This window comes from Homo sapiens, chromosome X (assembly GCF_000001405.40).
Source record: "Homo sapiens chromosome X, GRCh38.p14 Primary Assembly".
Taxonomy (NCBI): domain Eukaryota; kingdom Metazoa; phylum Chordata; class Mammalia; order Primates; family Hominidae; genus Homo; species Homo sapiens.
In genome coordinates this window covers 92,262,160-92,288,397 of record NC_000023.11, presented here as the reverse complement: position 1 = coordinate 92,288,397, position 26,238 = coordinate 92,262,160, and the positions used below count along the sequence as shown (strand labels likewise).

Below are 26,238 nucleotides of genomic sequence, written 5' to 3'. Positions count from 1 at the left end.
AAAAAAAGAAGTAACTAACTCAAAATTTGTAGTGACCTCAGTGTCTCCAAGTGACTTAAGGTCCTTTCATAATAGTAGAACATTTCTTCCTAAAAGGTAGTATAAGAACCTACTAGCTACAGAAAGGAAAAACTATAGCAGACCTCTTGAACAGGGCTAAAATTCCCAGAAATGGCCATTAATTTTGGTTTCTTCAATCTCTGCATCTAAAAAGAAAATGCATTTCCATAGTGATACATTAAATGCAGTAGCATGGATCGTGTATTAGTCTGTTCTCACACAGCTATAAAGAACTACCTGAGACTGGGTAGTTTATAAAGAAAAGAGGCTTATTCAGCTCACAGTTTTGCAGGCTATACAGGTTTATGCTTCTAGGGAAGCCTCAGGAAACTTACGGTCATGGCAGAAGGGGAAGAGGAAGTAAGCACAGTCTTCACATGGCCAGAAGGAGGGAGAGAGAGTGAAGGGGAAAGTGTTACACACTTTCAGACAACCAGATCTCGTAAGAACAAACTCACTATCACAAGAACAGCAAGGGAGAAATATGCCCCCATGAGCCAATCACTTCCCACCAGGTCCCTCCTACAACATTGGGGATTGCAATTCAACATGAGATTTGGGTGGGACACAGAGCTAAACCATATCAGATCTATTTTAGTAGAATTAGCTAGCTATCAATTTATTAGCGTGCGAAGCCTAAAGAAATAATATACTGCATAAGAAAATGTTGATTTAGGAAAGCTTAAAACAAAAGAAAAGGAAGAAAATTCTAGGTTCCAGGTAATGTCCAAATAATGCTGGATCGTACAGGACAGTGCAACACTAGTATCAGGGTTGCTGGTTGATTGAATGAGCACATTAAATGCTGTAGTGGGAAGACAGAATGCCAACGGTGGATACTGAATGAGAAGTATTCTGGGAGAGGTGAAAAAGAAGCTAACACAGGAACAGAAAACCAAATACTGCATGTTCTCACTCACAAGTGGGAGTTGAGCAATGAGAACACTTGGACACAGAGGCAGGAACAACACACACCAGGGCCTGTCAGGGGGTGGTGGACAAGGGGAGGGAGAGCATTAGGACAAATACCTAATATATGTGGGCTTAAAACCTGTATGACAGGTTGATAGGTTCAACAAACAATCATGGCTCATGGACACCTATGTAACAAACCTGCACATTCTGCACATGTATCCTGAAACTTAAAGTAAAATACAATAAAATAAAATATAAAATAAATAAGAGAAAAGAAGCACTATTTTCACATTCTGTTTTTTACTGACAGTCAATTCCAACAACAAACCACTAGTTTGGCACCCATTGTCTTAAAGTCACGTAAATACAGTGTATTGAATCATACTATCATTAATAATAACGATAATATATAAACTTTGCATGGCACCAATATGTTCCAGGCACTGTTTAAATCATTTTTAGATACATGAACTTATTTAATATTCACTTACTTAAAACTTACAATAACCCAGTGAGATAAGTATGATTATTATTCCCATCTTACAAACTGGAGAAAGACTTCTTTTTATCATTTAAAATACTTTCATGTTTGTAGATGTGAGATCATTTTAGGAGAACCTATATTTATAGATTATAATTCCTTCTTGCTATATAATTCTATTCCAGATTTTCAGTTGTAGCTACTTTGTTCTTTTTCCATCTTTCAGTAGCATTTAATAAGTAAACTAAATCCTTGAAGAGATAATCTCCAAAATTGGAACTAGTGAGACCATTTAGTAGAACTTACTTCATCTAGTCATCAGTTCAAAAATATGAAAGCCCATTTAATCTAGAATGAAATAAGTGGTCTCTTTGAAGGAAGAGACCTGAATTGTATTTATTTGATTTTCCTTTTGTTTATCTTATTTTATTTTCACTTTCTTTGTACTATATCTGCTTGCTTTTCCTTTCCTTTTTTTTTTTTTTTTACTTTTTGAATTTTATTTAAAACCTTAAGAGGAACAATGCTTAACTTCTCACTTTATTTTTCAAAATGTCAGCTGGACTTTCTGTTAACCTTTAATACCCCTAAATTAAAAGATAATTCTGAATCTTCTGTGAAATGCTGGAATATTTGTATGCACCAACATTAAATAATTTTTTCCTGGGCTCATTGATGAGAAGCAAAGCAAAAATTACGTAGGCGTGATAAAGCTGTGATGGCTTTATCTTTAGCCATGATGATCTTTTGTTAGGAACAAGCCCCCAAATCTGGCCATAAACTGGCCCCAAAACTGGCCATAAACAAAATCTCTGCAGCACTGTGACATATTCGTGATGGCCATGATGCCCATGCTGAAGGTTGTGGGTTTACCGGAATGAGGGCAAGAAACACCTGGCCCACCCGGGGCGGAAAACCACTTAAAGGTGTTCCTAAACCACAAACAATAGCATGAGCGATCTGTGCCTTAAGGACATGTTCCTGCAGCAGATAACTAGCCAGAACCCATTCCTTTGTTTCGGCCCATCCCTTTGTTTACCATTAATCTATAATCTATAGAAACAATGCTTATCACTGGCTCGCTGTCAATAAATATGTGGGTAAATCTCTGTTCCTGGCTGTCAGCCCCCTGATTTCCCACTCCACACTCTATATTTCTGTGTGTGCGTCTTTAACTCCTCTAGGGCCACTGGGTTAGGGTCTCCATGACCGAGCTGGTCTCAGCAATCTTTAATTAATGGCTATTCCTTATATATGCACAGAATAATAAATAATTTGTCAATATGTTTCCTTGTTTTCAGTTTTAGTTCCCTGACAAAATTCAAACCTAAAGCACATATGTTATTACACACACAGATTGACTTACTACTTTTATAAAAATTTTCTACAGGCTGAGTGCAGTGGCTCACACCTGTAATCCCAGCACTTTGGGAGGCCGAAGCGGGCGGATCACCTGAAGTCAGGAGTTCGCGACCAGCCTGACCAACATGGAGAAACCCCATCTCTACTAAAACTACAAGATTTGCCGGGCATGGTGGTGGGGGCCTCTAATCCCAGCTACTCAGGAGGCTGAGGCAGGAGAATCGCTTGAACCCTGGAGGCGGAGTTTGCGGTGAGCCGAGATCGCGCCATTGCACTCCAGCCTGGGCAACAAGAGTGAAACTCCGTCTCAAAAAAAAAAAAAAAAAAAAAAAATTCTACAGTCTAACAGAAAATCCATACTCTATAATGATGTGGGACTAGTATCATAGATTTTGCCAGCACGTCTGCATCATATTGCCTGCTAATATCATAACAACAATAATAACAATAATAAACTGGGCACTGAATAAAAGTCATCTTTCATCACAATAAAAAGCATCTGTGCTTGTGTCTTCATTGCAATATCAGTATAGATTGCATGTATTCCATCTGCAGTGATTAGGAGGCGAAAACAGAGGGAAAAAGTGGAAAAAAGTGCTTTTAATGTCTATGGGCTTCCAGATGCCACAGTTCACTAGCTACACAAATTGTTTCTAAGCAATTTGGCGTATCTTATCAAGTCCTTCAGATTAAATTTAAAATGCAGTCCCATATGTGATAATATAATGTTTTATGTACCAGACCCTAGAGTTCCAGCTCATTTTTAGATGCTTCTGCAACAAAGCCGTTGAGAGTTGGTGCCAGATTTTCCCACAAATAAAATCTATATATTACATTAGAAAATATTCTGTTCAAACATAAAAATAAACTGTGATTTGTAGGCAGTAGAAATATTTTTGTACACAATTTTAGCTTTCTTAAAAGCTTCTAAAAAGAAAAGTGGGCTTGCCTCGCAGCAAAAATGGTTCTCATCCTGCGTTTTCTGACAGTCATTAGGGGTACCAATATGGAAGAGGGTCAGTAATAACAATTTCCCTCTTTCTCAGAACTATCTTAAATCCTGCTAACAGTGGATTAAAATATATTGTTTTGTTTTTTAGTCTAGTAAAATATAAAGCAAGAAACTTTACAGCAGGTATAAACACAACTTGTTTTTATTAAAATATTTAATTGCTTAAAAAGCAAATAGTAATTTATAATGTCTAATAACTGGACACAGTCCCACACACATTCTATTCTATACATGTTGCTTTGAATTTTTTATCTTTGTAATAATGCAATTAGGAAGCAGAACTTTAGAACTAGCAGGAATAAATATGAACCATTATAGTGATTAACATTAATGACTAAGTTTCTCCAAAGTGTAGTAAAGAACGATGAGACTATTTTATATTGGTCACTAAATTTACATACGTAGGTTGATTCATGTTGGCAGTGATTGGCTACATTGAGTATCAATAGAACTCTAAATAGAATTCACAGGTGCTGTCTTAATTTGAATTTTATTAGGAAAAATTAGCTATAACAATCAGTTTATAAGGAAAGTTCAGTTTGTAATTGTATAAAATCTGAAATTGTGAACATGCTAAAAGAAACCTGGATAATTTTGTCAACTAAGGAAAAAGGAAGCTTGTTCAAAATGAGAACTTGTAAGTCCATTAATGAACATTGTTTAAAGTTCATCAAGAAAAAATAAAGGACAGTAAAGTAAGAGAAATATGTCTACCTTCATTCCACACTGAATTTCATGTAAGAAAAAATTTAATCTAATGAGTCCAAGATATACACCTCAAGTAAAAATAATTTCTATGAGCCTCTATAGCTAGTGAAAAGTGAATGAATGGAATAAATATGCTTAGACACACTGGACATTTTATGTGATAATATAACAATTCATATGGCACTATACGCAAAATTGTCCATCAGATCATGAAAAGTGCTAATCCCTTGGTGTTAGAAAATCATACGATTTGTAGAACTTGATGTGGAATTACGGAGAAAACCAGACATTAGAAACCTAAACATTGTTGTAAGTAGCAAAAATAAAATGAAATAAAGCCCTCACTAAATCACTGACTCATCAATATTAGGCATAAAATGAAAGCTGGATTAAAAGAAAATCTTCCATTGTGATAGGGCAAAGGCATCCATAGAAGTTCAGTGCATTCTGCTTTAATTACACTGCAACACTGTACACTCAAATGGCTAGAGACTTAGCAGCAATATTAAAGGAAGATCACTTCTATAAAAACTTGAAGTAAATCCTTATTAACATAGTCTTTCTTACCAACAGGAAAGAAAGGGGCAAGCAAATTAATAATTTTTTCTGTACAACCCATTACAGCATAACTTGAGTGATCTATTCAGTTTAAAATATCTGTTTTTATATGGTACTAAGTATTGCCATAGGTGTTGCTAAAATGATTAATCCTAATTGGAATTATCATGTAGAGATCTGGGAATGTTTATTGCTTTATCTTGATTCTGTCAATTTAATTTTTTTTGCTTAGGAGATCTGGCTCTAGAATTATATTGAGGCTTCAAATCCCAGCTTCACATACTTCTTGGCACATGACATGAGCTCAATAAATTCGAGCAATAATAGATCTATAGATAGATAGAGAGACAAATGTTTCCATGACTCTGATTTTTCTAATATCAAGAAGCTATGACTAATTTTGTGTGTCTTTTTAAATTTTGTGAAATAGTGCCAAAACTTTAGCATTACGGGAAATAGCATTCAATGTCTCCCAATAATGAAAAACGATAGCAATCTGCCCATAGCTTCCCAGCAGAAATACTGGAACTAATATACTCTAGGGAAGATTTCATTCTAGTTATTCACCACGGTCAAAGTTTGTTTGTTGGTAGTGAAGTTGTGTTGATTTGATAGCAAAATTGACCTGCTATCTACTAAACCATCTAGCTCATAAATATCCAGCACTGACCTAAAAAGCATAAATGCTATTTTATTTTAGCATAATTCATTGCAAAGAGCTTAACATAGCATATCATTTTATTATAGTTGTGGCATACTGTTCTTAGCTTTCTTAACTTCATCATACGTACAATATTCTACCCTCAATGTCAGATAGCTGAACGATATAGGCTTTTCAATGAACTGAATCATTTTATCTTTCAGTCCTGCAAAATATATTAAATTCTATAATTTAAAATTCTACATCTTTTTCAAAGATTGAACTAGGGTATTATTTTTGGAAGATATTAACTATGTGAGGGTTAAAATCCTGTAGGTTTTGTATTTCTTATCCATTTTTAGGAAAAAAATTTTAAGATGAACACTATAAAACTTGAACTTCAAAGTCAAAAATAAATATCTAACTTAGTCATTTATTAGCTATTTTTACAGATAATTATTTTCTAGACAGCTCCTGTGGAATTAAATAACTCCAAAACATTATTTTAGAACTTCTTATTCCCCCACTCCCTTTTCTCTCCTTCCCCTTATTTTCACTCTTTTGCTTTTCCTCCTTCTCCTCCTCCCTCCTCTGCTCCTCTTCTTGTTTTTCTCATCTTTCTCATTCTTCTTTATCTTCTTCATTTTCCTCATAGTAATTCAGGTCTAAAAAGTTTAAGTGACTTGAATAATGTCTATATCTGAATGTATATGTCACAACTTACCTTAGAATAAGGTCTAAATCTGAAGATATATCTCAGTCCCTGAGACACAGTGGGCCTTCCATAAAAGTTTGTTGAATGAAAGAATTTTTTTCATATACCATAACGTGTTTTAGAGACAGCAGAGTAATTCTTATTCTGCTACCAAATTAGTCTAAGAAGAGAATGAAGCCATTATACAGAATCTAGATGAGTTGAAAATATGAGACTGTTAGTATGTCAACATCCACAATTCACTTGTCCTCAGTTTGGACTCTAATGGAAAGAAGCCATGTGACAAGGAAGTCATAAAACCCAATTTCTGGAGATTACAGCTCCATACCTCATAGTTAAGGACTCTTAAGTTTAATTGATCTTAATTCTTCCTATACATTGTATATCACTAAACCACATTGCTATCTGTTCTTGTTTCATACTGACTAGTTTATATTAATCATATTTCCAGATCCAACTTAGTAAAGATAATCCACATTACATACCCTAATCATGGCAGTTGCCTGGGAATGTTTTAGTTTCCTTTTTAACTGGCAATTTTTCCCCAGTGCATGTATATGAACACACATAAATTAAAGTCAGGTAGAAATAGAGATGCAACTTTCTGAATGCTTGCCTTTATGAAAACAGTAGTAGCCTGTGTATGTTTCCTGGTGTACTCTTGTGTATGTATGCGTGTGTATGTGTGTTTATCAGAAGGACAAATCTGAAATGTAGAATAAGAAAAATGATTCAATATGACCTTTGGTTCAGAAATGAAGAGGTGGTTAAGTTGCTGTGGAGATAAGTAGCAGGATGATGATGCCCAGAAAAGTGCTGAGAGGATGTTAGTCTGTTTAGTTCAATGATTGCAGTTCACAAAGGGCCCTCATTCATTTATCACCACTCAAGTACCATCACCACCACTAAAAGACTTAAGATTCAGCTAGTTGGAACACAGATGCTTCTGCTTAGAATACTGTAGAGGGAACTCATTTTGAACTTTACCACATACTTTAGCAGTTCCTTGATTCATTTGCTGAAAACAATGTTTATTTTTCCTATCTCACTGATTTATTTTGGTATTGATATTAGACTAGATGTCAAGTTTTCCCCACATTTACTACTGTAAATGGTAAAGTTTTCTCCCCAGTTTACTAATGTCAATTTTTTTTTAAAAAAAATATATTTGATTAATTACATTATGCTTCAAAGGATTTGTTTGTTCAAAGTAACTCAATTGTTTCCTCATTTTCTACCTAGTTTTTATTTAGTTCTACAGCATTGCATGTTTGTATCTCATTTAATTTGGGACATAATTCTCCAGTTTAACTGAATGTGAAAGATTCAGAACTGAACAATAAAGTATACTCATATGTCAGTTAATGACAGAGATATATTCTATTATTTATTTATTTATTTATTTATTTATTTATTTATTTATTTGAGATGGAGCCTCACTCTATTGCCCAGGCTGGAGTTCAGTGGCACAATCTTGGCTCACTGCAACCTCCACCACAGCCTCCTGAGTAGCTGGGATTACAGATGCGCACCACCACGCCCAGCTAATTTTTGTATTTTAGTAGAGACAGGGTTGCACCATGTTGGTCAGGCTGGTCTCAAACTCCTGACCTCATGACTCACCCAGCACAGCTTCCCAAAGTATAAGGATTACAGGCGTGAGCCACCGCTCCTGGCTGACAATGGAGATACATTCTAAGAAATGCATCATTAGGCAATGTCTTCATTGTGCAAAAATCATAGAGTATACTTACACAAACTGAAATGATGTAGCCTACTACACACCTAGACCGAGTATGTTTGCATGTGTGCTTTTCTATGTGTATGCATGTGTATATGGTATAGCCTATTGCTTTTAGTCTACAAACCTATACAGCATGTTAGCATGTTTCTGTACTGAATACTGCACATAATTGTAACACAATGGTAGCTATTTGCGTATGTAAATGTATCTAAAAATAGAAAAGGTACAGTAAAAATACAATATTATAATCTTATGGAACAACCCATTGTATATGTGGTCCATCATTGACCAAAACTCATTATGTGGCACATGACTGTACAGGAGAAATTTACCTAATCAAAGTAACAATGGCTTTTTATTTGTTATCCTAAATCTATAAGATCTGCAGTTAATTAAGTTGAAATGTCAATATTTTGGACCTTTAAAAACGTGAAAAATATGCTGGGCAAAAACCATTCATATATTGCCAAATATGTACCAACTAATACATAGGCCAAGTAATATATTGCCAAGTAAAAGTTAAATATATTGGCAAGTAAAAGTTAATAGGAGCGTTTGTTTAAAAAGTTTAACATTATGGTTTCTGCCCAACCAACTTTATATAAGTATTACAAAGATAATAACTTGTCAATAACAATGATACAAAACTATTCTGGAGTTATGCAGCAAACAATTCCCAGAAATCACCTTTATTACAAAATACGAAACAGATCGGAGACAGTTCCTTTAATGCTAGAGATTTAAAAAATTGCATTCAATGCTGACTACGGAAAATATTAAGGGCAATATTTGTGATTTGCTCCACTACACATTTATTTTCAGGAAATAAATAAAGAGGGTAACCTGTCTTGTTAGTAAAGAGATGCATCGTTTGAAGCATGATGCACTTCAAGAAGAAAACCTAATTCTTAAATCAATGCTTAAAGTATATTTGGACAACAATAGGTTTTATTCATGAACAGTAAAACAAGCTGTTAAAGTGTATCTGATAAATATACCAGGCTAAAAGGAATCAAATATAGTGGGAAGGAGAATGCTATTTGAACAGAATAAAAATGCAATGGCTTATATGACTGACAAAAGCTAAAAAGAGGCTGGGCATGGTGGCTTACGCCTGTAATCCCAGCAGTTTGGGAGGCCGAGGCAGGTGGATCACCTGAGGTCGGGAGTTCGAGACCAGCCTGACCAACACGGAGAAACCCTGTCTCTACTAAAAATACAAAATTAGCCAGGCGTGGTGGCACACGCCTGTAATCCCAGCTACTCGGAAGGCTAAGGCAGGAGACTCGCTTGAACCCAGGAGGCGGAGGTTGCAGTGACCTGAGATCGCACCATTGCACTCCAGCCTGAACAACAACAGTGAAACTCCATCTCAAAAAAAAAAAAAAAAAAAAAACTGAAAAGAGACTGTCAGGCCTCTGAGCCCAAGCCAAGCCATCACATCCCCTGTGACTTGCACGGATATGACCAGATGGCCTGAAGTAACTGAAGAATCACAAAAGAAGTGAAAAGGCCCTGCCCCGCCTTAACTGATGACATTCCACCATTGTGATTTGTTCCTGCCCCACCTTAACTGAGTGATTAACCCTGTGAATTTCCTTCTCCAGGCTCAGAAGCTCCCCCACTGAGCACCTTGTGACCCCCGCCCCTGCCCACCAGAGAACAACCCCCTTTGACTGTAATTTTCCATTGCCTTCCCAAATCCTATAAAACGGCCCCATCCCTATCTCCCTTCACTGACTCTCTTTTCGGACTCAGCCCGCCTGCACCCACGTGAAATAAACAGCCATGTTGCTCACACAAAGCCTGTTTGGTGGTCTCTTCACACGGACACGCATGAAATTTGGTGCTGTGACTCAGATCGGGGGACCTCCCTTAGGAGATCAATCCCCTGTCCTCCTGCTTTTTGCTCCATAAGATCCACCTAGGACCTCAGGTCCTCAGATCGACCAGCCCAAGAAACATCTCACCAATTTCAAATCCGGTAAGCGGCCTCTTTTTACTCTCTTCTCCAACCTCCCTCACTATCCCTCAACCTCTTTCTCCTTTCAATCTTGGAACCACACTTCAATCTCTCCCTTCTCTTAATTTCAATTCCTTTCATTTTCTGGTAGAGACAAAGGAGACACGTTTTATCCATGGACCCAAAACTCCAGCGCTGGTCACGGACTAGGGAAGGCAGCCTTTCCTTGGTGTTTAATCATTGCAGGGACGCCTCTCTGATTATTCACCTATGTTTCAAAGGTGTCAGAAGACACAGGGATGCCTGCCTTGGTCCTTCACCCTTAGCGGCAAGTCCCGCTTTTCTGGGGAAGGGGCAAGTACCCCAACCCCTTCTCTCCTTGTCTCTATCTCTTCTCTGCTTTTCTGGGGGAGGGGCAAGTACCCTTCAACCCCATCTCCTTCACTGTTAGTGGCAAGTCCCACTTTTCTAGAGGGGTAAGTACCCCAGCCTCGTATCTCTGCGCCCCAATCCCTTATTTCCATGCCCCGACCCCTTATTTCCGTGCCCTGACCCCTTATTTCCATGCCCTGACCCCTTATTTCTGTGCCCCATCCCTTATTTCCATGCCCCGACCTCTTATCTCTGAGCCCCAACCACTTTTCCCACTTTTCTAGAAGGTAAGAACCCCCAAACCCCTTCCCTCCATTTCTCTACTCTCTCTTTCCTCTAGGCTTGCTTCCTTCGCTATAGGCAACCTTCCACCCTCCATTCCTCCTTCTACTCCCTTGGCCTGTGTTCTCAAAAACTTAAGACCTCTTCAACTCACACCCGACCTAAAACCTAAATGTCTTATTTTCTTCTGCAATGCCGCTTGACCCCAATATAAACTTGACAGTAGTTCCAAATAGCCAGAAAACGGCACTTTCAATTTTTCCATCCTACAGGATCTAAATAATTCTTGTTTTAAAATAGGCAAATGGTCTGAGGTGCCTGACATCCAGGCATTCTTTTACACATCAGTCCCTTCCTAGTCTCTGTGCCCAGTGCAACTCCTCCCAAATCTTCCTTCTTTCCCTCCTGCCTGTCCCCTCAGTCCCAACCCCAAGCGTCACTGAGTCTTTCTAATCTTCCTTTTCTACAGACCCATCTGACCTCTCCCCTCCTCGCCAGGCTGAGCTAGGTCCCAATTCTTCCACCCTATAATCTCTTTATCGCCTCCCCTCCTCACACCTGGTCCAGCTTACAGTTTCTTTCCGTGACTAGCCCTCCCCCACCTGCCCAGCAATTTACTCTTAAAAAGGTGGCTGGAGCCAAAGGCATAGTCAAGGTTAATGCTCCTTTCTCTTTATCCCAAATCAGATAGCGTTTAGGCTCTTTTTCATCAAATATAAAAATCCAGCCCAGTTCATGACTCGTTTGGCAGCAACCCTGAGAAGCTTTACAGCCCTAGACCCTAAAAGGTCAAAAGGCCATCTTATTCTCAATATACATTTTATTACCCAATCTGCTCCCGACATTAAATAAAACTCCAAAAATTAGAATCTGGCCGTCAAACCCCACAACAGGACTTGATTAACCTCACCTTCAAGGTGTACAATAATAGAAAAAACTTGCAATTCCTTGCCTCCACTGTGAGACAAACCCCAGCCACATCTCCAGCACACAAGAACTTCCAAATGCCTGACTGAACTGCAGCAGCCAGGCATTCCTCCAGAACCTCCTCCCCCAGGAGCTTGCTACAAGTGCCAGTAATCTGACCACCAGGCCAAGGAATGCCTGCAGCCCAGGATTCCTCCTAAGCTGTGTCCCATCTGTGCAGGACCCCACTGGAAATCGGACTGTTCAACTCACCTGGCAGCCACTCCCAGAGCCCCTGGAACTCTGGCCCAAGGCTCTCTGACTGACTCCTTCTTGGCTTAATGGCTAAAGACTGATGCTGCCCGATCGCCTCGGAAGCCCCTAGACCATCACGGATGCCGAGCTTCAGGTAACTCTCACAGTGGAAGGTAAGCCCGTCCCCTTCTTAATCAATACGGAGGCTACCCACTCCACATTACCTTCTTTTCAAGGGCCTGTTTCCCTTGCCTCCATAACTGTTGTAGGTATTGACAGCCAGGCTTCTAAACTTCTTAAAACTCCCCAACTCTGGTGCCAACTGAGACAATACTCTTTTATGCACTCTTTTTTAGTTATCCCCACCTGCCCAGTTCCCTTATTAGGCTGAGATATTTTAACCAAATTATCTGCTTCCCTGACTATTCCTGGACTATAGCCGCATCTCATTGCTGCCCTTCTTCCCAATCCAAAGCCTCCTTTGCATCCTCCTCTTGTATTCCCCCACCTTAACCCACAAGTATAAAATACCTCTACTCCTTCCTTCGGGACTGATCATGCACCCCTTACCATCTCATTAAAACCTAATCACCCTTACCCCGCTCAACACCAATATCCCATCCCACAGCATGCTGTAAAAGGATTAAAACCTGTTATCACTCGCCTGCTACAGCATGGGCTTCTAAAACCTATAAACTCTCCTTACCATTCCCCCATTTTACCTGTCCTAAAACCAGACAAGCCTTACAAGTTAGTTCAGAATCTGTGCCTTATCAACCAAATTGTTTTGCCTATCCACCCCATGGTGCCAAACCCATATACTCTCCTATCCTCAATAGCTCCCTCTACTACCCATTATTCTGTTCTGGATCTCAAACATGCTTTCTTTACTATTCCTTTGCACCCTTCATCCCAGCCTCTCTTTGTCTTCACTTAGACTGACCCTGACACCCATTAGGCTCAGCAAATTACCTGGGCTGTACTGCCACAAGGCTTCACAGACAGCCCCCATTACTTCAGTCAAGTCCAAATTTTATCCTCACCTGTTACCTATCTCGGCATAATTCTCATAAAAACACACGTGCTCTCCCTGCTGATCATGTCCAATTAATCTCCCAAACCTCAATCCCTTACAAAAGAACAACCCTTTCCTTCCTAGGCATGGTTAGTGCGGTCAGAATTCTTACACAAGAGCCAGGACCACACCCTGTAGCCTTTCTGTCCAAATAACTTGACCTTACTGTTTTAGCCTAGCCCTCAGGTCTGCGTGCAGAGGCTGCCACTGCTTTAATACTGTTAGAGGCCCTAAAAATCACAAACTATGCTCAACTCACTCTCTACATTTCTCATAACTTCCAAAATCTATTTTCTTCCTCATAACTGACGCATATACTTTCTGCTCCCCGGCTCCTTCAGCTGTACTCACTCTTTAAGTCCCACAATTACCATTGTTCCTGGCCCAGACTTCAAACTGGCCTCCCACATTATTCCTGATACCACACCTGACCCCCATGACTGTATCTCTCTGATCCACCTGATATTCACCCCATTTCCCCATATTTCCTTCTTTCCTGTTCCTCACCCTGATCATGCTTGATTTATTGATGGCAGTTCTACCAGGCCTTATCGCCACACACCAGCAAAGGCAGGCTATGCTATAGTACAAGCCACTAGCCCGCCTCTCAGAACCTCTCATTTCCTTTCCATCGTGGAAATCTATCCTCAAGGAAATAACTTCTCAGTGTTCCATCTGCTATTCTACTACTCCTCAGGGATTATTCAGGCCCCCTCCCTTCCCTACACATCAAGCTCGAGGATTTGCTCCCACCCAGGACTGGCAAATTAGCTTTACTCAACATGTCCGGAGTCAGATAACTAAAATACCTCTTAGTCTAGGTAGACACTTTCACTGGACAGGTAGAGTCCTTTCCTACAGGGTCTGAGAAGGCCACCGCAGTCATTTCTTCCGTTCTGTCAGACATAATTCCTCCGTTTAGCCTTCCCACCTCAATACAGTCTGATAACAGACCAGCCTTTATTAGTCAAATCAGCCAAGCAGTTTTTCAGGCTCTTAGTATTCAGTGAAACCATTATATCCCTTACCGTCCTCCGTCTACAAGAAAAGTAGAACGGACTAAAGGTCTTTTAAAAACGCACCTCACCAAGCTCAGCCACCAACTTAAAGAGGACTGGACAATACTTTTACCACTTTCGCTTCTCAGAATTCAGGCCTGTCCTCAGAATGCTACAAGGTACAGCCAATTTAAGCTCCTGTATAGACGCTCCTTTTTATTAGGCCCCAGTCTCATTCGACACCAGACCAACTTAGACTGTGCCCCAAAAAAACTTGTCATCCCTACTATCTTCTGTCTAGTCATACTCCTATTCACCATTCTCAGCTACTCATACATGCCCTGCTCTTGTTGACACTGCCGGTTTACACTGTTTCTCCAAGCCATCACAGCTGATATCTCCTGGTGCTATCCCCAAACTGCCACTCTAAACTCTTGAAGTAAATAAGTAATCTTTGCTGGCAGGACTATGCTGAATCTCCTTAGGCACTCTCTAATCAGATGTCCTAGGTCCTCCCAATTCTTAGACCTTTTATACCTGTTTTTCTCCTTTTGTTATTCCATTTAGTTTTTCAGTTCATACAAAACCGTATCCAGGCCATCACCAATAATTCTACACGACAAATGTGTTTCTTCTAGCATCCCCACAATATCACCCCTTACCACAAATCTTCCTTCAGCTTAATCTCTCCCACTCTAGGTTCCCACGCCGCCCCTAATCCCGCTTGAAGCAGCCCTGAGAAACATCGTCCACTCTCTCTCCATACCACCCCCAAAAATTTTCACCGCCCCAACACTTCAACACTATTTTATTTTTCTTATTAAGAAGGCAGGAATGTCAGGCCTCTGAGCCCAAGCCAAGCCATCACATCCCCTGTGACTTGCACGGAAAGGACCAGAAGGCCTGAAGTAACTGAAGAATCACAAAAGAAGTGAAAAGGCCCTGCCCCGCCTTAACTGATGACATTCCACCATTGTGATTTGTTCCTACCCCACCTTAACTGAGTGATTAACCCTGTGAATTTCCTTCTTCTGGCTCAGAAGCTCCCCCACTGAGCACCTTGTGACCCCCGCCCCTGCCCACCAGAGAACAACCCCCTTTGACTGTAATTTTCCATTACCTTCCCAAATCCTATAAAACAGCCCCACCCCTATCTCCCTTCACTGACTCTCTTTTCGGACTCAGCCCGCCTGCACCCAGGTGAAATAAACAGCCATGTTGCTCACACAAAGCCTGTTTGGTGGTCTCTTCACATGGATGCGCATGAAAGAGACCACCAGAACATAAATATATAAATGCTGCAAAACACAAACATAAACAAGAAAATAATATATCTAAAACAAAGGTTAGTGAATTTATGGAAGCTGTTACACCTAAATGAGTAAGCCAGATGGAGAATCTAAGTATATGTAAGTGGAATTTAGTTTTATTCAAGAAGGATATTCTATAGTAGGTTATTATACGAAATTAAGCTAATTGTATCAAATGGAATTTTTAGTTTACAACCTCTTTTTCTTTCTAGACAATGCGGTCCTTGAATGTCAAAGTGCTACCTCAATTCCTTTAGATACCTTCATCACCAAGCACTAGATTTGACACACAGAAACCATTCCACATATGTTTGTTAAATAAATGACAACACATATTCATTAAATATTTACTAGGTTTCAAGTGGTTTGTTAGACAAAAGCTACAGGAACCTATAAGACTTGTTGAAATATTAATTCTCCATATCCCAACATTAGACTGCAGAATTTACCACTTTATTGTCTCTAATTTAAAGCATAAAAATTAATTCTGGAAATTTCTTTTAAGCAATAAAAAAATTCAAATAAATGAGGAAGATTAGTTTGACAGTGATCCTCAAGGAATGAGCTAGGCAATTGACCAGTATATTTAAAATCCTTTGGTAAAATGCCACCTGATAATTAATTGTCAGAGGCTTGCCTGTGAGATCCCTGTGAGTTAAGCAGGAGACTTGTCCAGCTTAAATATTAAATGTATAACGAGGAACAAATACATGAGAAGTAAATGAACACAAGAAAACATGCCAAAAATAATATATCTAACTTAGGGGTTACAAAATATGAGATTTATAAATCAGAGTCCTTTTTCATAAATGGCTCAATATCTGACACAGCAACCCCGGCTAACTTTACTGGAGAAACACATGTTCAGAAGAAACTTTCTTAGCTTTCCAATATAAATGCCCTTGATAAAAAAAGCAGACATCTAAGTCACTACTACTGAGGACTCCATTTATATTTTATGTCGAGATACTTTTCCATCCACTTTTACATCCAGATACTTTGTCATAAAAACAGAAAAGATACTGAATCAATACCATCATGTATTGTCAAATTTCATCCGCCTCCATGAGTCTGATCTCCTGATACCATTTCTCTGGACATTAATAAATACTTGTTCTAGTCTTTAAATCATAATGCTTAAGGGACATATATGAAATAAATTGTCTTTAGGATAATAAAGAGTTCTTCATGCTTGAAAGACTAAATTAAAATTCTAGTACTTTAATTACTATAAAGCTTACACAATTATGGATATAAAAATATTATGGAAAGCCAGCATCATTGCAAAAGAGCATGATGATGAGGTTCAGGATATTCCACGCCAAAATATGACTGTAAGAGACAAGAATATTGAAGCAGGAAAATAGGATCTGGAATCAGGGAACATAAGTCTGATTCACACTTCATCTATGACAGGAAATATTCTCTCCATAGGGAGTAGGCCAAGTAAATGACTTTATAACTTACTTCATCCTCTCCATTTACATAGGGCATGCCCCAAGTAACTAATGAGGTTCTCTTGGGGGTACTTAAACCCCTCCAAAAATCTGTAACGGGACCTTTGAGCCCCTATGCTTAGGCCCAGTCCCACATTATGGAGTGTACTTTCATTTTCACTAAACCCCTTCGTCCCTTTCTTGCTTTGTTTGTGCCTTTTTTGCAATTCTTTGTTCAAGATGCCAAGAACCTGAACATCCTGCACTGTTAACAATACGTTACCTCAAAATATGCCTCATTGACACAAAGATTTCTTTAGAGCTGTCATTTTGAGGAACTGCAGACAGAAGAATTTCTGAGAAGTTACCGTTTTGTAAAAGAAATTTACAGCTATAAAGGAAATCTCCATTTGTAAGGGTGTTCCCTCCCTGCACCAGGAAGAAAAAGAGAACTGAATTACTGGAGATTCTTAACCAGTGAAGAAGGCATTGACTTAAATCTGCACAACAAACATTACCTTTGTTTCATGGTGTTTTTTTCTGGCTATCTTATCTTAACTGCACCTTTCCCCACACCCTTCTTTCTTTGCTTCAGAGAATCGCGGTAGTTAAGCCTGAAGTTTAAGACAACTCTTTGAGATCTACTCTAGGGATTTACTCATTTCTCTGGATTATCTTCTGGGAATGGAAAATAAAAACATGGGAGCCCAATTCACTATGCCAAAAGGAAAAAATTAAGCTCAAAGCTGAGTCATGCAAGAAACTGACTTTCTTTTTGTTCCTAAGCAGATAGCTACAGATAAAAGGTTAAATAGCTCCATAGATAGCTACTCCATGTTCACCTTATCTTAGGTAAACTGCTGATTTACTGAGTTTGAGAATAATATATAATTGACTATTCCCCTACTTGTTCCTTTTGCTTACAACATGTGGATTCCATAATGAGACCGTATCCTCCCTCTTTCCCCTCCAGCCAGCTCTTCCCCTTTAAATATCAAAGCCTTCAAAATCATCTTTGGAGAAAAGCACAGACCTCCCTCCTAGGCATGTCCTTCACATTGGCAAAGTAAACTTCTAAATTGATTGAGGCCTGTTTCAGATACTTTCTGGTTTACAAATTGGTGACCAATGAAGGGAACTCTTGAGTGGAGGGCTGATATGTTAAGAACATCCTGTGGTTTGGCTGGACACAGTTGGCTCACGCCTGTAATCCCAGCACTTTGGGAGGCTGAGGAGGGCAGATCACTTGAGGTCAGGAGTTCGAGGCCAGCTTGGCCAACATGGTAACACCCCATCTCTACTAAAAACACACACACAAAAAACAACTAGCCGGGCTTGGTGGTGGGCGCCTGTAATCCCAGCTACTTGGAACAGGAGCCTGACGCAAGAGAATCACTCAAACCTGGGAGGCTGAGGTTTCAGTGAGCTGAGATGGCACCATTGAACTCCAGCCAGGGGACAGAGCGAGTCTCAAAAAGAAAAAAAAAAAAAAAGAAAAGGAAGCTAGGAATTGAAAGATACAGAAGGAATATGTACTTAATGAACATGAAGTTACAATCTAGGTGTGATCATTATATTTATGTATACAAATGATTAAAAGAGATCACAGAAGGTTTTATGGAAGAAAAATTTCCAGAAAAGTCGAGAGAAAAGCAGTGGTTAAAATATCAAATGTAACAGAAAGTTTGGATGTAGGAAGCAGAAAAATCTTGCCCAAATTATAAAAGGGTTATACTTTAATCAGGAGGGGAATGTAATTAATTATAGCAAGGAATATGTGGTGAGAAAATGTAGTTAATAGCGGGGAGATGAGCCCTTCAATTTAGTAGTGAATTACATCAATATCTAGCAAGGGTAGCTGACTTAAGGGGAGGCCTTTTTATTTTATATATTTTTTTATTGACAAATGACTTTTACATATTTTTAAATATAAAAGGGCAGTGGCATTTAGGAAGGGACTAAAGAGCTAGATATTTCAAGATTTCAGAGGGAATAAATGAGAGGCTAGAAAGGAACTCAGAAATGTATTGAGGTTACAAAAATTGTTTCTATCTTAGGATAGTAGGATTTCAAGTAATCTGCTGGTAATTCAGGGCTGGAAATTGTGAAAGAAATTCGAAAATAGTTGAAAAGCTTTGGAAAGTCATTCAAAGCATGGGATAGAAAGATAATGAGAGGAGAATAAAAATATTTCAGAACAATAGCTAGATCCCAACTGAAACTTAGTACTATTAATGTGTAGTGAGCTAAATCTTCAGTATAATTTTTTTGATTTTTTAATTTTTCTACCTAAATGTGCTCAGTGGCTGTGAAGAATACATTCTACAAGGGTAATCTACAGTTGGAAACTGGCACTCCAAACAGAGAAACCAAGGATAACAATGATGAGACAGAATGATAAATATAACCGGGAAGGAATTTTATCAAGTGGGTAAAATGGAGAGGGACTGAGTAATTGGAGAACCTACTGAATGGAAAGCTCAAGTTAACCAGACAGGATAATATAAAGCAGTTAATAAACTGGTGAACTTAAAAAGGGAGGACTATGCTCAAAATTATGGAGACCTTGAAATCATATGAATATAAGATCCAGGGAATGCACATATGTACATATAAGAACCACAGAATTGAGAAATGTAGTATACAAAGATGTAAAACAAAACTGATATTCACCTGTGGTGATGGCTACATTAACAGTTGTAACACTGAATGCCAGTTTGTATTTTTAGTAGAGACGAGGTTGGCCAGACTGATGTTATCGGCCACTGTGCCTGGCTGATAAGTGTAAGTCTTGAACAAGCATGACACTAGCATAGATGGAGAATCCCAAAAGATCAAAGTGTCCTTTACATTATCTGATATTTTTTGCCACTGATCAAATTTTCAGCCATTACCATTGAGTTAAATAAATAATCTGTTCCAAAGCAAGAAGCTGTTAAGACCCTATGAAAGGCTTCACAGTGTACCTGCAGTACAATGTCCCTAGAAGAGCATATCTATAGAACATATGTAGGATGAAGGGGAATTAGTTTCCTTAGGTGGTAATGCTAAATTAGAGCTCTTAGTGTGATTTAATTTTTCATAATACTAATTACACCCAGCCTGGCCAACATGGTGAAACCCCGTCTCTACTAAAAAATACAAAAAATTGTTGGGCGTGGTGGCACATATCTGTAATCCCAGCTACTCGGGAGGCTGAGACAGGAGAATTGCTTAAACCTGGGAGGCAGAGGTTGCAGTGAGCTGGGATCACACCACTCTACTCCAGCTTGGTGACAGAGTGAGACTCTGTCTTAAAAAAAAAACAAAACATACTAATAACACTAAACTGAATGTTTAATAAGGAAAACTGGCAAAAGAAACAGAAGAAATAGCATTTATAATCATGCAGATTTAGCCTCATGCATTTGCTAGATCATAATAGTCCAAAAAGTAATATAGGAAAATAATCCTTCTCTAAAATAAGACATGAAAATGTATCTCTTCAGAAATATACCATTAGAATTTGTTTTATTTAGATAACTGAAAAAATCTCAGTGTTACTGCTATGGTTTGAATATGTCTCCCAAATTTTATGTGTTAGAAATGTAATCCCCAAATTCACACATTGATGGAAGATGGGGCCTTTTGGGGGCCATTAGAATTAGATAAAGTCATTAGGGTAGGGACCCCATGACGGGATTAGTAGCTTTATAAGTACAAGAGACACCTAAGCTGATACACACACTCTTGCCTTCACACCATGTGATGCCTTCCACCATGTTATGATGCAACAAGAAGGTCCTCAGCAGATGCTGGTACCTTGATATTGGACTTCCCAGCCTCCAGCACTGTAAGAAATACATTTCTTAGTTTATAAATTACACAGTCTGTGGTATTCTGTGATAGCAACAGAAAATGAGCTAAGATAGTGCCATTCTGCATTCAAAATTCTAAATTATGCTTTTAGGAGAATTTCTGAAGCAGGAACCTCCAAACACGTCTGCACTGTTGTACAAAACAGCAAATGAAGCAATACCTTGGAGACACCAGCAAAATGGGTATTTTAATACATGTTGGATCAAACAATTTCACTGCTCCCCTCATCTTCATGTAGCCTTGGAGCAAATGATTGCACAAATGTCAGTAGTCTGGCCAATGACAGAGAATGGCTTTTACTTGCTTTGCTACTATAGCTACTCTTTCTATTATCCATTACGTGAGTCTAAAAGAATCTGCTTTTTAATTTACCTCAGGCAGATATAGAGAAATCGGAAATATACTCCTCGGAGAATCTCAGTCAGTTCTGTTTCTGCCATATTCAGTTTAGCACTTTAGTGAACATTCTCTTTAACAAGCCTGGCCATTTGTGCAAACCCTAAGGGCAATTTAGTCTCAGGCTAAGCCAAAGTGGGAAGGGATCTTGAAAAAAATGTCTACATGGAAATGTTCAGGTTAATGCTAAATAAGGGAAAGCTGGTAGATTGAATAAAAAGAGCAGTTTGTATTCATACGAGGAAATTTCAAAAACTATTAACCAGATTCAAAAAACTGTAATTCCCTTTTTAGTTGAAAATAAGTAGGCCGGGTGCAGTGGCTCACACCTGTAATCCCAGCACTTTGGGAGGAAAAGGTGGGCAGATCACTGGAGGTCAGGAGTTCGAGACCAGCCTGGCCAACATGGTGAACCCTCGTCTCTATTAAAAATACAAAAATTAGCCAGGCGTGGTGGCAGGCGCCTGTAATCCCAGCTAATCGGGAGGCTGAGGCAGGAGAATCATTTGAACCTGGGAGGTAGAGGTTGCAGTGAGCCGAAATCATGCCATTGCACTCCAGCCTGGGGTCAAGAGCAAGACTTTGTCTCCACATAAAAAAAAAAAAAAGAAAATAAGTACTGCTTACACTATTCAATTACAAGTGGCCATGTGTTGAAATTTGTTTTTCCTCCTAATTAGTAATTAACCACATGGATAACAACTGGTTAAAGAATGAATGAACTATGACATGTGGCATTTGCTTCTTTTCTGCTGTGAATGCCACTAGCTTATCTACGAAATATAACATAATTTTTTAAGAGGGGGTAGAAAAAGTGTCTATCTTTGTAACTTAAACCTCTGATTTGAAATCTAAATATAGGTCCTATTTGGTGAGTACTTTGAAGTCATTTACACTTAAATCTAGAGAAATCATTGAGAAATTATCTTCTTCTTTGATGTTTTAGACTCTAAAAGATAAAGAATTCATCTAGATACTTCATTCTTAGCTAAGATAATGTGTTGCCTTACTTTTTTACAAATGCGAGAACCTTATACTTTCCCATACTCTGAATTAAACTGAACATAAAAGCCATATTTTATAATTCATAAAAAGACTAAAAAGGTGAAGTTCAGGAGTTCAAGAAATGAATTTAACTTTTTATAGAAACATTTGCAATAAATCCCAAGTTAATGAATATTCTGACACTTAATATATTTAAAGTTTATAGCTTCTTGAATTTAATATCCAAAATACCCTTCAAAAGGTATACATAAATGCAATGAACCAAAAATAAAGGACACCAGAGCACAGACCTAATCTCCATAGTATACATTAACAGTATTATATTAGGCAATGTATGGAATGTATATAGACTAGTAAAAATGAGTTAATGATGGGTCTGTAGCATTATTGTAGTTGACAGAAGTAACTTTTTAAAAATTACTATTCCAGAAACATCTTTAGCACCTTTATAACGTTAAATATATTAAATGTTACTTCTAAAACACAATGAAAACACTTATTTTAATATAAAGAAAGTATTTGTTTTACGATTCCAAGTTGTTATCTTTTTAAAGAGAGAATTTCTGGAGACAGATTGCCTGAGTTCAAACCCTGGCTCTTCTACTTGTGAGCTCTGTAACCTTAGGCAAGCCACTTAAGCTCGATGTATCACCATTCCTCATCTGTAAAATAGCCTACAGGATTATTGTGAAGATTAACTGTGTATATATATGTGTATACACATTCCTATATATATGTACGCATACCTATATACATACACACATATATGTATATGTATACACACATGCACAAACATAGAGCGCTTGGAACAGAGTAAGCAGATTTGTATGTTTTTTTTATTATGCTTACTTTATTTTAAAAAAGCTAGTGAAAAAAATAATAAACTTCACAGTTGCCCATTTTTAACTCTCTGCTGTGTTTTAACCCAAATTTTGTCAGGATTTTCGCCTTCCCACGGGCCCCTGAGCTCGGCTTGACATCAAACCTGAGCAACCACTAAAAAAAGTGGAATGTGTCCCAATCATTAGCTTCTCAGGAAATCAGATGACAACAGATACTTTTGGGCCCACTCTCTTGTTGGTCCAGCTTCCTCTTTAAAGATTCTGCTTATCGGCCGGGTGCGGTGGCTCACACACATAATCCCAGCACTTTGGGAGGCTGGGGTGGGAGAAATAGTTGAGCCTGGGAGTTCAAAGCTGCAGTGAGCTGTGATCCATCGTGCCATTGCACTCCAGCCTGAGCAACAGAGCGAGACCCCATCCCCTACCTCCAAAAAAGATTCTGCTTATCTCTGCTTGCTTACCCTTCTTGACCTTATAAAGAAAAGCATTTTCTGTTGAATTTTGAGATCCTTGCAGATTTTTAACGTCATAACCTTCTCCCTATTGCAATATTCTTTCTTCTGAACAAAGTCTCTCTCTATGTCTGTCCAGATTTGTTTTATTTGACAAAAAAAAAAAAAAAAATTGTCCTTCACTAAGAACCTCTTTTTCCATTGGTCCTTATGTCGATTATTTACATGTTGAACTGTTTTATGTTGAAATGTCATGACTTAAGAGTTTCCTGACCTGGAACATAGGTTCTTCCCAGAGTTCTATATGCAGGAGCCTAACTTGTAAAACAAAGACATGTCCTTATTTATATTCACTAAGCTAGAAAAATATTTCCAACATTCCTCTTCTTCAACATTTCAATGTTGAACTAACTGAGCCACAAGTTCATTTCCAAATTCACCAGAATGGTTAAGAATGTTAGAACACAAAATCCCCAAATCTGTAGATCTTCTCTCTCTTTCATTCTCTCTCTCCCTTTCTCTAAATATACACATAATATAATATAAATACATGTTTTATACACACACACACACATATAATCACACTGTACATAGTAGCAGCCAGTGACATTTTACTACCCTTGCTTCCTTCCTTTTAACTGGAGATCTTGTCTATGAACTTTTGTCTTCTGGGAGGAGCTGACTTTCAAAAATTCATCACTCCAAGGCCACAGTGATACTCAGTATGATTCAGAGAGGCAATTGAAAGCACTCCGAAAGATATATTGATTTACAACTCTCTGATGCTGTTATTTTAGTTTATCTCTCAAACATTAATGAAAATCCCTTTTGGCATTGTATTCAAACTCCATTTTCCATTAATTCTCACACTTGATAAAGACATCCAAGGTGAACAGATTACTTTCCGGCATAGCTTAGACAACTCTCTGGCAAGTGCTTTTTCAAACGTAAAGTGTGGTTTCTTAAGCTAGAATAAGATAATTCATCTTTAAGATTATATATATTTAACTTAGCAACAGCAAAGATAAGATTCTGGTGCCTAATATGGATAGCATTTAAGGCTTACTGAATTTAATATTCAAAACGTCTTCTGTCAGAAATTTAAGGGAAATTGATTTCTTTAAACCTCAAAACATAATAAGAAACTAAGGCATAAATGCTAGGAAAGAAATGTTAATAAACAACTGGAAAACTTTATTTTTAGTGGTAGTACAGTTTAACTAGTGAAGTTATTTAACAATATGTATGAGATAGTTTATTTGTTTAACAATAGAAACACAAATTTTTCTAGAAGTCTGGACTGTTCATATACATTAGGTTGGTGCAAATGTAATTGTGGTTTTCACAATAACTTTTAATGGCAAAAACCACAATTACTTTTGAACCATCCTATACTTGAGCAGAACTTAAAATTTTCGCATTGAAGGATGACATTCCAAAACCCAGTTTCTCTGAGATCATCATTTTGCCTATTAACCATGTTTAGTTATATAATTCTTCTCTGTGACCCTATCAAATATCATGATTTATATTCACTAACTTTCTGCTGTCACTGCTAAAATGTGAATTGACACTAAAATTGTTCCTTTTTTTATTGTTAGCATTTATCATAAAATAACTGTATTATCAGACCATTCACAAAGTGATGCTGTCAACAGTATGTTGTTTTGGCATAGTGGGAAAAGAAAGTATTGGGGGAAAATAAAATAAAACGAGACTCGAAATTGTTTCCAGAACTGTGCGATACAAAATGTGAAAACAGCTCAGCTTGACTCTCTTTTAAAGTAGAACCATAACATATGTTATCCTAAGTACTTACAGTTTTAACTCCATGGACTAACTACTGTAGCTTCACACAGTATAAACACAACATTTCAAAATCAATTTTCTTTGAAATTTGCAGTCTTACCTTTCCTGCCACTTTCCCTTCAGATTTCCGCTGATTTAGGATAAAATGGAGGCAAGGGAAGCAAAGGAAAATAAAACAAAAACAAAAATCAGCTCAAATTTGGTTACTGCAAATACATTTTTTTTTTTTTTGAAAAAAAAGCATGTCAACATTCCCAGTGCAATGGTACACAGCTTTGTTTTTCTGCTGAAACTACTTTCATCTCCTACATTCTTCAGTGGTTTGAGTAAAGGGATATAACAGCATTGTAAATCTTGTGCAAAAATATGAAGAGCCACATACAAAATTTCAATTGGCACAAAAAATATATGCTTAGCTCACTTACGCATTAACCAAGAAAAGGCACCCTTCCAATTAGATATTCTGTTATGGTGTCACTTATTTTCTATCCATTTTTAAATGAATGGGCCTTTATTTCAAGCATAAACACATTTTTTAATTGAAATGAGAAAAACTAGGCTCATTGAAAATTAATGATTTGGGGGTAAACATAAGAGATGTTTATACAGCATTGGGATATTATTGCTGAATTTTAAATCAATAGTTTCTGTTGTTCATAGGGGCATCTTAAATCAACTCTGTTCAACTAAATCCTTTTTAATATCATCACGGAAGTCATTCTTTTCATTTTATTTAAGACTTTTTTTTCTCCCTCAACCACTTTCAGGAGACAGGTTAAGTTACTTTTTAAGATACCAGAAGCATATAGACCATTTGTCCTTTTGGATTCATTCTCCTTTGTAGAGGATTAAGTTACTGAATTAAAAGTGAATCAAATGTCAACATTTCCAGCTAATGATGCTCCTGAAAGTCTGTTCTCCGCAATCTTTATCTTAATTCCCTGTTCTTTTTACAGTTATGCAAAAGTTCCTTATAGAGTCTTCTTGAATACAAAGAATCACAGAAAATTGTCAAGAGAGTAGGCTTGAATCTGAAATAAGGGTAAATACTAAGAGAAATAGAGTCAACATAGTAAGAGGATGC

At 38.0% G+C, this 26,238-nt stretch overlaps 1 protein-coding gene across 14 annotated transcripts in view, besides 1 other annotated feature; it reads right to left on the bottom strand.

Moving 5' to 3' along the window:
- The window catches only part of PCDH11X (protocadherin 11 X-linked), an 843,856-nt gene that overhangs the window by 334,833 nt on the left and 482,785 nt on the right, over positions 1–26,238 (bottom strand). For 7 of the 14 annotated variants that reach the window (XM_011530911.3, NM_032968.5, XM_011530910.1 and 4 more), the window contains one exon: positions 25,255–25,284. The exons of 6 other annotated variants lie outside the window; for them this stretch is intronic. In XM_011530911.3, the coding sequence (XP_011529213.1) occupies positions 25,255–25,284 (30 nt within the window). Of the gene's footprint in view, positions 1–395; positions 432–25,254; positions 25,285–26,238 lie in introns of all 14 variants that reach the window. One more of the 14 variants, NM_001168361.1, reaches the window with a different exon arrangement.
- Positions 16,985–17,514: an enhancer, noted in NCBI's record as "OCT4-NANOG-H3K27ac hESC enhancer chrX:91525883-91526412 (GRCh37/hg19 assembly coordinates)". NCBI's record gives its function as "activates a minimal SCP1, AML or CMV promoter by ChIP-STARR-seq in naive H9 embryonic stem cells {active_cell/tissue: H9 hESC(naive)}" and the evidence as "EXISTENCE:reporter gene assay evidence [ECO:0000049][PMID:30033119]".